Source organism: Homo sapiens, chromosome 19 (genome assembly GCF_000001405.40).
Source record: "Homo sapiens chromosome 19, GRCh38.p14 Primary Assembly".
In the NCBI taxonomy this organism is placed as follows: Eukaryota; Metazoa; Chordata; class Mammalia; order Primates; family Hominidae; genus Homo; species Homo sapiens.
In genome coordinates, this window is record NC_000019.10 from 21,824,874 (window position 1) to 21,837,524 (window position 12,651).

Here is a 12,651-nt window from a genome sequence, read left to right on the forward strand (position 1 = left end):
CAGCAGTTACAAGTAGATTTGTAAAGGCAAAAAAGAGGGGCAGAGAGTGGACTGGTACAAAGTTGTTTGTCAGCCACTTAGGCTGGGCACGGTGGCTCATGCCTGTAATCCTAGAACTCTGGGAGGCCAAGGCAGCTGGATCACCTGAGGACAGGAGTTTGAGACCAGCCTGGCCAACACAGTAAAACCCTGTTTCTACTAATACAAAAAATTAGCCGGGCATGTTGGCATATGCTTGTAATCCCAGCTACTCGGGAGGCTAAGGCAGGAGAACTGCTTGAACTTGGGAAGTGGGGGTTGCAGTGAGCCTAGATTGCACCATTGTACTCCAGCCTGGGCAACAAGAGTGAAACTGTCTCAAAAATCAAACAACCCAACCAACCAAAAAAAAAAGTTGTCAGGAAGTCTTATTTATTTACAGAAATAACACTGATTATTGATTGGATATACATTGTTAAGGTTTAAGGTATGGGTTATAGTGTCCAGTGTGACATTATTAGTTTAGTTTATAGCTACTTGTGGCAATAGCAAATAGTTTCAAGAGATAAATACATAGTTCAAAGGGAGGAGAAAGAAATAATTGTGTTCTCATTTTAATGTCTCTGAGTTTGAAAAAAGGACTTGCATTTCTCAGATTAAAGTTTTTTTTTATTTCTCAAATCTCAAAACCCAGAATCAGAATTTGGGGCTGCAGATTTAGTGGAGCTAAATCTGGTGGTGTGGCAGCAGGTTTCACCTACACAGTTTAGGGCATTTTTAGCAAGAGGAAGAAAGTGGAGATCCTCATGTCCTCATGTCTACTCAATGCACACGTTACTTTGATCGGGTTTCTGGGCCCCATGGTCTGTGAATCACTTTCAGGTCTGAGGATACAAGAGTCATTGAAAAAGGTAAAATAGCCTGGGTCAGTGGCTCACGCCTGTAATCCCAGCACTGTGGGAGGCCAAGGCAGGTGGATCAGGAGGTCAAGAGATCAAGACCAATCCAGCCAATATGGTGAAACTTCGTCTACTAAAAATACAAAAATTAGCTGGGCATGGTGGAACTCACCTGTAGTCCCAGCTACTTGGGAGGCTGAGGCAGAAGAATCGCTTAAACCCGAGAGGCAGAGGTTGCAGTAGGCCGAGATGGTGCCACTGCACTCCAGCCTGGGCAACAGAGCAAGACTCCATCTCAAAAAAATAAAAAATAATAAATGAAGAGGTAAATGGTTGGTTCCTTCTCTGTGAAGTTTGTAGAAATTTTGTCTATCCTTTCTAGAAGCGACTACAGTTAATTACATATACCAAATAGGCAAAAAAACAATTCCACCTGCATATTTAGGGGACATCATACACTTTGCAGCACAATTGTGAATAGATGGGAAGCCTGAAAGAAAAAGTTTCCTCTAGATTAAAGGTTAGTTGGCACCTTATGTGTTTATATTATGTCTGGTAATTCAAGACAGTGTTTGGAAATGGAATTTAAAAAAAATTTCTGCAGCCCCAGAGAAACTCCAAAATGATAGAACAGAAATAAAATTGTTTATTACACAATTAAACCAGAATGTGAGCAGCATGACAGTAAATCTGCTTAAGAGATTGCAAAGACAGAAAGAGAGTTCAGCAGGCTCACTAAGCCTGAGCAGTGATTCAGGCTCAGTTTCTACTTACAATGGTGACATGGAAAAAATACTGCTGGGTTTGGCTGAGTGCAGTGGCTCACACCTGTAATCCCAGCACTTTGGGAAGGAGGCAGGCAGATCACCAGGTCAAGAGATCGAGACCATCCTGGCCAACATGGTGAAACCCCATCTATACTAAAAATAGGTAAATTAGCTGGGTGTGGTGGTGCATACCTGTACTCCAAGCTACTAAGGAGGCTGAGGCAGGGGAATCACTTGAAACCAGGAGGCGGAGGTTGCAGTGAGCCGAGATCGCGCCACTGCACTCCAGCCTGGCGACAGAGTGAGACTCTTTGTCTCCAAAAAAAAAAAACTGTTGGGTTTTCAGCATGAGTTCAGATGATGATAACTCCGAGAGTTTTCATCGTGCATTCACAGGCACCATGGGACACTAACAGAGCTTCTGAAACAGACACCCAAAGCATTAGAAAGAAAAACAGCTCTCCATTTGAGTAACACTGTATTGAGAAAAAAAAAAAGAAGTTCAAAGCATCTTAAGAAAAAACTTAGATTAGATGAAAGATTGATCAAGTCAACCAAAAATACTCCCCTTAAACAAATTTCTCTCTAAACGAAGTGCACAGCTACTCTCAGCACAAGAAACATGAGCATTATGAAAAAAATATATATTCTCAGCAGAATTTTCTAAGGTTTCTCTTCCATGTCTGCTGCTGTCTCATCTCCTAGCCATTGGATGGGAGTTCCATATTGGAATACATCTCACAATTTCCACATGCACCTTTTGATGAAGAATTGAAATCTTGAGTTTATTCATATAGTGTAATATATTCAAGCTTGCAACACTGCTAACTGAAGAGCTACTATGTGGTTTTTTTTTTTTTGAAATGAAGTTTCCCTCTTGTTGCCCAGGCTGGAGTTCAATGGTGCGATCTTGGCTCACTGCAACCTCCGCCTCCCAGGTTTAAGTGATTCTCCTGCCTCAGCCTCCCAAGTAGCTGGGATTACAGGCATGCACCACCATACCTGGCTAATTTTTCTATTTTTGGCAGAGACAGGGTTTCTCCATGTTGGTCAAGCAGGTCTTGAATTCCCAACCTCAAGTGATCCACCCACCTTGGCCTCCCAAAGTGCTGGGATTACAGGTGTGAGCTACTGCGCCTGGCCATTTTTTTTTTTTTTTTGAGATGGAGTTGAGCTTTTGTTTCCCAGGCTGGAGTGCAATGGCACAATCTCGGCTCACTGCAACCTCCGCCTCCCAGGTTCAAGCAATTCTCCTGTCTCAGCCTCCCAAGTAGCTAGGATTACAGGCATGCACCACAATGTATGGCTAATTTTGTATTTTTAGTAAAGTTGGAGTTTCTCCATGTTGGTCAGACTGGCCTTGAAATCCCAACCTCAGGTGATCCACCCGCCTCAGCCTTCCAAAGTGCTGGGATTACAGGCGTAAGGCACCGTACCCAGCCTCTGAAGAGCTACTATATTTTTTGAGTGGCCACCTGACCTGTTTTTATCTGTCCTGTAATAGCAGCATTCCAATTTAGTTAAATGAAAGACACTAAAATTAAGCTTCCCTGTAATTATCCATATTGGATAAATTAATAAGCATGTCAGACTAATATCTATTGTAACAATTTGGTAGTGACTTTTCTTTGGATATTAGATATAAATATCTAAGTATAACCAACTTTAATGTACTAGTCATAATGTATGTAGTATTCTAAAAAATTGTTTGTAACCATATTTCAGTTAAAACTACTTTATATTTCAAAGTATGAGTAAGAATATTAAAATAACTATTTAGGCTAGGCATGGTGATTCATGCCTGTAATCCCAGCACTTTGGGAGGCCAAGGCGGGCATACCACAAGGTCAGGAGATTGAGACCATCCTGGCTAACACGGTGAAACCCCATCTCTCATAAAAATACAAAAAATTAGGCCAGGCGCGGTGGCTCATGCCTGTAATCCCAATACTTTGGGAAGCTGAGGCGGGTGGATCACCTGAGGTCAGGAGTTCGAGACCAGCCTGACCAACATGGAGAAACCCTGTCTCTACTCTAAAAGTACAAAATTTAGCCAGGCATGGTGGCACATGCCTGTAACCCCAGCTACTCAGGAGGCTGAGGCAGGAGAATCACTTGAACCCAGTAGGCGGAGGTTGCAGTAAGCTGAGATCATGCCATTGTACTCCAGCCTGGGCAACAGGAGTGAAACTCCGTCTCAAAAAAAGTAAATTTAAGGAAAAAAAAAAAATACAGCCGGACGCGGTGGCTCACGCCTGTAATCCCAGCACTTTGGGAGGCCGCAGCGAGCAGATCACGAGGTCAGGAGATCGAGACCATCCTGGCTAACACGGTGAAACCCCGTCTCTACTAAAAATACAAAAAAATAGCCGGGTGCCCTGGCGGGCGCCTATACTCCCAGCTACTTGGGAGGCTGAGCCAGGAGAATGGCGTGAACCAGGGAGGCGGAGATCGCAGTGAGCCAAAATGGCGCCACTGCACTCCAGCCTGGGCGAAAGAGAGAGACTCTGTCTCAAAAAAAAAAAAAAAAAAAAAAAAAAAAAAAAATTAGCCGGACGTGGTGGCACGTGCCTGTAGTCCCAGCTACTCCAGCTACTCAGGAGGCTAAGGCAGGAGAATCGCTTGAACCCATGAGGCAGAGGTCACAGTGAACCGAGATCGTGCCACTGCACTCGAGCCTGGGTGACAGAGTGAGACTCCATCACAAAGGAAAAAAAAACAAAAAACACCACACACAAAAAAAACTACACAGACTCCAAGGTTGAGTTTACACACTGAACTGTTCTTGCTTTTGCAGTGTAAGTACTTCAGCCTGCAAATATTAGATTACCTTGGATTATCAGTTTTCTGTCAAAGAAATTTATTCAGTATTTTTTAGTTTTTACCATTCTGTATTTCTAAATTTAATTCGTTCTTCGTACTAAACTTCTGTGTGCTCTTAAAATGAGCTTTAATCTAAACAAATCTGTGTCTACTTTAAAAGACTAAAAAAAAAATTAAATTTTCCCAAATCAAGGATAAGCAATGAATCTGAGGTCTTAAATAAAGACAATCTTGAGTCAAAAGAATGCCAAAAGATTTGGCTGTTAATATGATTTAAATATATTTCAAAAAAGCAATAAAAATATCTCCATATAATCTAAATGCTTTAAGATAAAAGAGTTGAACAAGATAGTCTCTCTTATTTTCAGGTAGGATAATAAAGCCTCTGATTTATATTTTCTTTTACAACAGCCAGGTCTCTGGACATATTGAACTCTTGAACATCTGAATTTCAGTAGACATTGGATTCATTGAGCTCCGTCTCAAAAAACAAAAAAACACAAAACCTGACATCATAAAAGAACAAGAGAAGAAAAAGCAAACTGACCTCTAAGCTAACAGAGGACAAGAAATGAAAATCAGATCTGAACTGGAGAGTTAGACAAAAAAATGATAAAAATATGGAGAAGGCTGGGTGCAGTGGCTCACCCCTGTAATCGCAGCATTTTGGGAGGCCGAGGTGGGCAGATCACTTGAGGTCTGGAGTTCGAGACCAGCCTGGCAAAATAGTGAAACCCGGTCTCTACTAAAAATACAAAAATTGGCCATGTGTATTGGTGGGCACCTGTAATCCCAGCTACTCAGGAGGCTGAGGCAGGAGAATTGCTTGAACCAGGGAGGCGGAGGTTGCAGTGAGGCGGAGGTTGCAGTGAGGCAAGGTTGTGCCACTGCACTCCAGCCTGGGCAATAGAGAGAGATTCTGTTTCAAAAACAAAATGAAAAAAAAAAACAAAACAAAAAACAAACAAACAAACAAAAAAAGAAATCCAGGAGTAAAATCTTTGAAAGAATTAATAAGATAAATAGCACTCTAGAGAGATTAATGAAGAAAGAGAAGATCCAAATAAACACGATTAGAAATGACAAAATGGCCATTAACACTGACCCAACAACAACAAAATAATTATTCAAGTCTGTAACGAACACCTCTATGTAAACAAACCGGAAAATCTAGAATAGATCAATTCCTAGACACGTACATCCTCCAAAGACTGAAAAAAAAAAAAAAAGTATCCCTGAAGAGACCAACAAGATTCAAAATTGAAGTATAATAAATAGCCTAGAAACCAATAAAAAACCAGAATCAGACATATTCACAAAAGAATTCTACCAGATGTACAAAAAAAAAAAAGCTGATACCATTCTTACTAGAGCCATTCCAAAAAATTGAGAAGGAACTCTTCCCCAACTCATTACATAATAGCATTATTCTGATACCAAAACCTGGTATAAAACAAAAAAAGAAAACTTCATGCCAATGATCTTAATAAAAAATGATGGAAAAATTCTCAACAAAATACTGGCAAACTGAATCCAGCAGCACATCAAAAAGCTAATCTACTATGATCAAGTAGCCTATATCCCTGGGATGCAAGGTTATTTCAACATACACAAATCAATAAATGTGATTAATCACATAAACAGAACTAAAGACCAAAACCACAAGATTATCTCAATAGATGCAGAAAAATCTTTCAAGAAAATTTAACATTCTTCATGTTAAAACCCTCAACGAACTAGGCATTAAAGGTACATACTTCAAAATAATGAGTTATCTGTCACAAACTCAAAGCCAATACACTGAATGGACACACAGAAGTTGGAAGCATTTCTCTTTGAAAACTGGCACAAGACAAAGATGCCTTCTCTCATCACTCCTATTCAACATAGCATTGGAAATACTGGACAGAGCAATCAGGCAAGATAAAGAGAAAGAAAGTCAGACTACTCTTGTTTGCAGGTAGCATGATTCTACACCTAGAAAACCCTATAGCCTCAGCAGAAAATTTTTTTTTTTTAATTTTTATTTTATTTTTTTGAGACGGTGTCTTGCTCTGTCACCCAAGCTGGAGTGCAGTGGCACAATCTCAGCTCACTGAAACCTCCACCTCCTGGTTTCAAGCAATTCTCCAGCCTCAGCCTCCTGAGTAGCTGGGATTACAAGCCACACAACAACGCCTAGCTAATTTTTGTAATTTTAGTAGAGACAGGGTTTCATCATGTTGGCCAGGCTGACCTCGAACTCCTGACCTTGTGATCCGCCCACCTCGGCCTCCCAAAATTGCTGGGATTACAGGCATGAACCACCACGCCCGGCTCCAGAAAAGCTTTTAAACTGACAAACAACTTCAGCAAAGTTTTAGAATACAAAATAAATGCACAAAAATCAGTAACATCTCTGTACATCAACAATATTGAAGCCAAAAGCCAAATCAAAAACAATCCTATTTGCCACAAAAAGAATCAAATATCCAGAAATATAGCTAACCAGGGAGGTGAAAGATCTCTATGACAAGAATTTTAAAACTGCTTCAAAAAGTAAGAGATGATACAAACAAATGGAAAACCCGTTTATGCTCATGAATAGAAAAGGTATCATTAAAATGGCCAAACTGCCCAAAGAAATGTACAGACTTAATTCTGTTTCTGCCAAACTACCAAAAACATTCTTAACGGGACTAAAAATAACTATTTTAAAATAAATGTGGAACTAAAAGAGAGCCTAAATACCCAAGGCATTCCTAAACAAAAAGAACAAAACTGGAAGCAGTACATTACCTGACTTCAAACTATACCACAGGGCTACAGTAACCAAAGCAGCATGGTACTGTTATAGAAACAAACTCATAGACAAATGCAACAGAATAGAGAGCCCAGAAATAATGCCACACACCTACAACCATCTGATCTTCAACAAAGCTTACAAGAGAAATGTAAAAAAAAATTTCTATTTAATAAATTTGCTAAAATAACTAGCTAATACTACGTAGAAAACTGAAACTGGATGCTTTTCTTACACCATATACAAAAATCAACTCAAAGTGAATTAAAGTCTTAAACTTAAAATGTAAAATTATTTTTAAAAAAACTTTGGAAGGTACCTAGGAAATCATTCTAGACATAAGAACCAGAAGATTTCATGATGGAGATACCAAAAGCAATTGCAACAAAAGGAAAAATTGACAAATGGGACCTAATTAAACTACAGAGCTTCTGCACAGCAAAGAAAACTATGAACAGACTAACTAAACAAGACAACCAGCCAGGCGCAGTGGCTCACTTTAGGAGGCCAAGGCAGGCAGATAACAAGGTCAGGAGTTCGAGACCAGCCGGGCCAATATGGTGAAACCCCATCTCTACCAAAAATACAAAAATTAGCTGGGCGTGGTGGCACACGCCTGTAATCCCAGCTACTCAGGAGGCTGAGGGAGAAGAATTGCTTCAACCTGGGAGATGGAGGGTGCAGTGAGCCGAGATTGTGCCACTGCACTCTAGTGGGGCAACAGAGTGAGACTCCATGTCAATTGAAAAAAAAAAATTATGTGGTAAACAATTAGTCATATGAAAACACTTCTAGGAGGTACCAAGTTTCATCTCATAAAATTTAGCATTAAACTCAGAAATCAAGATGATAGGATATAGAATACAGATAATCACCTCTACAAATTTACCCTGCAAAGAGAGTAACTGATGTTTTTATGAATCTGTGTAACTCACCACTTATATACCACGTTTTCTTATAAAAATGTATTAATTTTGTACAGCCAAATAAAATAGATTTTCCCTATTCTTTTCCTTGGTAGCATTCTAAAAGCTAAGCCTTGGAATTCTGTTGAAAATCACCCAGCCATAAAATAAAAGACACCTGAGAAGATTCCTAAACTCACTCTGGGAAAGAGAAAGGTAAATGATAATTTTTATTTTATTTTATTTATTTATTTTTTAAACAGAGTTTCCCTCTTGTCGCCCAGGCTGAGTACAATGGCGCGACCTCAGCTCACTGCAACCTCGGCCTCCCAGGTTCAAGCGATTCTCCTGCCTCTGCCTCCCGAAGTAGCTGGGATTACAGGCGCCTGCCCCTGCACCCAGCTAATTTTTTTGTATTTTTAGTTGAGACGGGATTTCACCATGTTGGCCAGGCTGGTCTTGAACTCCTGACCTCAGGTGATTCACCCACCTCGGCCTCCCAAAGTGTTGGGATTATAGGCATGAGCCACTACACCCAGGCTGTGACACTGTAGCACACATAGCCATGGTGGTTATCTTGGTTTATCCCTAGACAGTACTGAAACCCAGGATCAGAAAAAAAAAACAAAAACAACAAAATGAAGTGTGGCTGAGGAAAAATCACCCACATTTTTCGAAAGGAAAAACTTGACCTAAAAACATTCTGAAAAAGTCTCTGGCTGGGTGTGGTGGCTCATGCCTATAATCTCAGCACTTTGGGAGGCCGAGGCAGGTGGATCTCCTGAGGTCGGCAGTTTGAGAACAGCGTGACCAACATGGGGAAACCCTGTCTCTACTAAAAATGCAAAATTAGCCAGGCGTGGTAGTGCATCCCTGTAGTCCTAGCTACTCGGGAGGCTGAGTCAGCAGAATCGCTTGAACCCAGGAGGCAGAGGTTGCAGTGAGCTGAGATGGCTCCACTGCAGTCAAGCCTAGGCAACAAGAGCTAAACTCCATCTTAAGGCGGGGCGGGGGAAAAAAAAGAGTCCTGTGCCTAGGGAAAACAAAAAGAAAAAAGAGGCCAGGCATGGTGGCGGAGGCGGGTGGATCATCTGAGGTTAGGAGTTCGAGACCAGCCTGGTCAACATGGAAAAACCTTGTCTCTAACAAAAATACAAAAATTAGCTGGGAATGGTGGTAGGTGCCGGTAGTTCCAGCTACTGGAGTGGCTGAAGCAAAAGAATCACTTGAATCAGGGAGGCAGAGGTTGCAGTGAGCAGAGATCACATCACTGCACTCCAGACTGGGCAGCAAAGCAACACTGTCTCAAAAAAAAAAAAAAAAAAGTAAAGAAAAAAAGAAAAGGAAAAGAGGCACAGAGATTTTTATTTTTTACAAACAGTGTAAGGGGATTATTTTTTGCTTTCTTTTCAATATGGAAAATATTTTCAAATAGAAAACAAAATTTAGGCCGGACTCGGTGGCTCACGCCTGTAATCCTTGCACTTTGGGAGGCCAAGGCGGGTGGATCACAAGGTCAGGAGTTCGAAACCAGCTTGGCCAACAAGGTGAAACCCTGTCTCAACTAAAAATACAAAAAAATTAACCAGGCACGGTGGCAGGTGCCTGTAATTCCAGCTACTCGGGAGGCTGAGGCAGGAGAATCGGTTGAACCCGGGAGGTTGCAATGAGCTGAGATTGCACCATTGCACTCCAGCCTGGGAAACAAAGCGAGAGGAAGGATGGAAGCAAGGATGGAAAGATGGAAGGAAGGAAGGAAGGAAGGAAAGAAAGAAGAAGGAAAGAAGAAAGGAAAATTTATTTAAGTCCATCCAATGATTTTTCAAAAAATAATTAAAATATCTGTATCAAAAATATACAGATATCTAAAATATCTTTATCTAAAACGTATCTCTGTATCTAAAATGTACACTAAAAAAAAAAAAAAAATAGCCCGGCTCGGTGGCTATTTTTAAGTGCTGTAATCCTAGCACTTTGGGAGGCTGAGGCGGGTGGATCATCTGAGCTCAGGAGTTCGAGACCACCTGGCCAATATAGTGAAATCCCGTCTTTACTAAAAATACAAAAAAAATTAGCTGGGTGTGGTGGCAGGCACCTGTAATCCCAGCTACTAAGGAGGCTGAGGCAAGAAAATCGCTTGAATCCGGGAGACGGAGGTTGCAGGGAGCCGAGATAGCACCATTGCACTCCAGCCTGGGCAGCAAAAGCGAAAGTCCATCTCAAAAAAAAAAAAAAAAAGAAAAAAAAGAAAAAATAGTTGATAACGTGAATTGCGGAGAAGAAGGTGGCATTTGGGAATGTCAGAAATAAAGGAAAATCTAGTTTAGTTTTTTTTTTTTTTTTTTTCCAGAGGGAGTTTCACTCTGTGGCCCAGGCTGGAGTGCAATGGCGCGATCTCGGCTCACTGCATCCTCCGCCTCCTGGGTTCAAGCGATTTTCCTGTCTCAGCCTCCCTAGTAGCTGCGATTACAGGCGCGCGCCACCACGCCCAGCTAATTTTTGTATTTTTAGTATAGACGGGGTTCACCATATTAGCCAGGCTGCTCTCGAACTCCTCACCTCGTCATCCACCCACCTCGACCTCCCAAAGTGCTGGGATTAAAGGCGTGACCCACCGCGCCCGGCCGACTCTCCTGTTTCTAATAGACCAAAAGAGGGACTAGAAATGCCACGGACCAAAGCTCTTCCTATTCATGAAACTGCATCACGAGTCAGGATTCTCTCCTGACGACCCTCCTGTGGCCCCTGCACAATTTGGGAGAGACGCCGCGTTGCGGCTGCAGAGCTGCCCACAGAGGGCTGCAGGCCGGGACACAGTCACTGCGCAGAGAAGAGACAGGACGCCCGGGGCTGCCTCCCAGAGCAGCCGCCATCTTATGGCTGAAGGGGATTGAGGCCGAGCTGGGCAAGAACTCCGGCACGCGCAGATTGTGGAGCTGACTGCGGGAAGGCCTGAGTCACGCCACAGCCCCTTCCCCCTCTCGGGATGTCGGACCGGCACTCTCACCATTTCTAGGCTTCCGGGGGGTCCTGGCGTCTTAGCTGTGGATCCCCCAATACCCGCAGGTCACAGAGCCACAGAGGCTGGACCTCTAGCAGCAGAGGACACAGAAGAACGAAGACGAGACGCAGAGCTCCAACTGCAGCCAGAGACAAAGGCCCCGCCACATCCCGGAAGCCGCCCTGTCCTCTCCTGCCCCGTGCCTGATTGGACGGTTTCCAGCCCAGCGTCCCTGATTGGATAACTTCTAAGGTCCTGCCCCCGCAAACCCTGAATGAAAGATGTGATCAGACGCTGGGCTGAAAGAAGAAAGAATGACAGCCTAGGCTGCCGCCTTTTCAGGCAGGGCTTCCTCCCTGAGCAGAGCAGGCCCAACCCAGAGGGTATTTGCCTTTAACCTTGTGTATAAGGTCATCTTCACTTATAAGTAATATACTATATGGATACTAAAAAATGAAAACAATTGTTTTTGAATTTCAGCTTTTATGACCTTCCTGGCTTCTGGCCCTTTGAGTAGGAAGTATTACAAACATTGAATATTTTATTATTTATCCTCTGTGGGGTTTTTCTTATTCTTGAGAGGGAGTCTCTGTTACCCAGGCTGGAGTGCAGGGTCATGACTGCAGCTCACTGCAGCCTCAGCAATCTAGGCTTGAGCAATTTACCTGTCTCAGCCTTCTGAGTAGCTGGGACCACTGGCATGTGGCCCCATGCTCAGCTAATTTGTTATCATATTTTTATTTGTAGAGATGAAGCCTCACTAGATAGCCCAGAATGGTCTCAAACTCTTGGGCTCAATGAATCCTACAAAGTCAGCCTCCCAAAGTACTGGGATTATAGGCATGAACCATCACATTCAGACTGAATTATTTTATCAAAAAATTTTTTTAAAGCATTGAGGTCCATTAATAGAATTCAAGGAAATGTTATGCACATGTTTTAAAAGCAAATTAAAAAGCATATACAAAAAGAGAACATTTTTTAAAAAACTAAATATAGGTAATGTTACCAGAAAAAGTTTAGATCTCCTGACTTTAAGTTGCAGTATGCTAATGGAATATTCTTAGTGGATAGTATTCCATTTTCATAAGAAATTCAAAACAAGATAATTTCCAGGTTTTAGAAACTGATGTAAAACATAAAAATATAGAAAATCTCTAATGTGTTCCCATGATATAGTATTACTTGAAATATAAACTGGGCAAACTCAGCAAAAGACAATTTAATCTCAAATTTCAAAATAGGTACAGAAGTTCTAATGGAATAATAAATGGAATCCAGGATTTTATTCATAAAAAGGCTAAAAAGTGACCATTCTCTGTGATTTTGAAAGTAGGAATTTGTGTAAACAGATGTGTATTTGCATCTACATTTGCCTACACTTACTTTTTTTTTTTTTTTTTTTTTTTTTTTGAGACGGAGTCTTGCTCTGTCGACCAGGCTGGAGTGCAGTGGCACAATCTCGGCTCACTGCAACCTCCGCCTCCCAGGTTCA

The 12,651-nt window shown here is 41.8% G+C and overlaps 1 protein-coding gene and 1 pseudogene across 17 annotated transcripts in view, besides 5 other annotated features; one reads left to right on the forward strand and one right to left on the reverse strand.

Moving 5' to 3' along the window:
* The window catches only part of ZNF43 (zinc finger protein 43), a 47,120-nt gene that overhangs the window by 19,928 nt on the left and 14,541 nt on the right, over positions 1 to 12,651 (reverse strand). For 3 of the 17 annotated variants that reach the window (NM_001256654.2, NM_003423.4, XM_047439315.1), the window contains exon 1: positions 11,163 to 11,309. The exons of the other annotated variants lie outside the window; for them this stretch is intronic. Coding sequence is in view for 1 of the 3 variants with exons in the window: in NM_003423.4 (NP_003414.2) it covers positions 11,163 to 11,165 (3 nt within the window). In the remaining 2 variants the exon portion in view is untranslated. Of the gene's footprint in view, positions 1 to 11,162; positions 11,310 to 12,651 lie in introns of those variants that run through there. 17 annotated transcript variants of the gene reach the window in all.
* Positions 1,889 to 2,406, forward strand: BNIP3P27 (BCL2 interacting protein 3 pseudogene 27; annotated as a pseudogene).
* Positions 10,400 to 11,373: an enhancer, noted in NCBI's record as "NANOG-H3K27ac-H3K4me1 hESC enhancer chr19:22018075-22019048 (GRCh37/hg19 assembly coordinates)". NCBI's record gives its function as "activates a minimal SCP1, AML or CMV promoter by ChIP-STARR-seq in primed H9 embryonic stem cells {active_cell/tissue: H9 hESC(primed)}" and the evidence as "EXISTENCE:reporter gene assay evidence [ECO:0000049][PMID:30033119]".
* Positions 10,903 to 10,992: an enhancer, noted in NCBI's record as "active region_14388". NCBI's record gives its function as "activates an Ori minimal core promoter by ATAC-STARR-seq in GM12878 lymphoblastoid cells {active_cell/tissue: GM12878}" and the evidence as "EXISTENCE:reporter gene assay evidence [ECO:0000049][PMID:35858748]".
* Positions 11,033 to 11,082: an enhancer, noted in NCBI's record as "active region_14389". NCBI's record gives its function as "activates an Ori minimal core promoter by ATAC-STARR-seq in GM12878 lymphoblastoid cells {active_cell/tissue: GM12878}" and the evidence as "EXISTENCE:reporter gene assay evidence [ECO:0000049][PMID:35858748]".
* Positions 11,103 to 11,262: an enhancer, noted in NCBI's record as "active region_14390". NCBI's record gives its function as "activates an Ori minimal core promoter by ATAC-STARR-seq in GM12878 lymphoblastoid cells {active_cell/tissue: GM12878}" and the evidence as "EXISTENCE:reporter gene assay evidence [ECO:0000049][PMID:35858748]".
* Positions 11,374 to 12,346: an enhancer, noted in NCBI's record as "NANOG-H3K27ac-H3K4me1 hESC enhancer chr19:22019049-22020021 (GRCh37/hg19 assembly coordinates)". NCBI's record gives its function as "activates a minimal SCP1, AML or CMV promoter by ChIP-STARR-seq in naive and primed H9 embryonic stem cells {active_cell/tissue: H9 hESC(naive and primed)}" and the evidence as "EXISTENCE:reporter gene assay evidence [ECO:0000049][PMID:30033119]".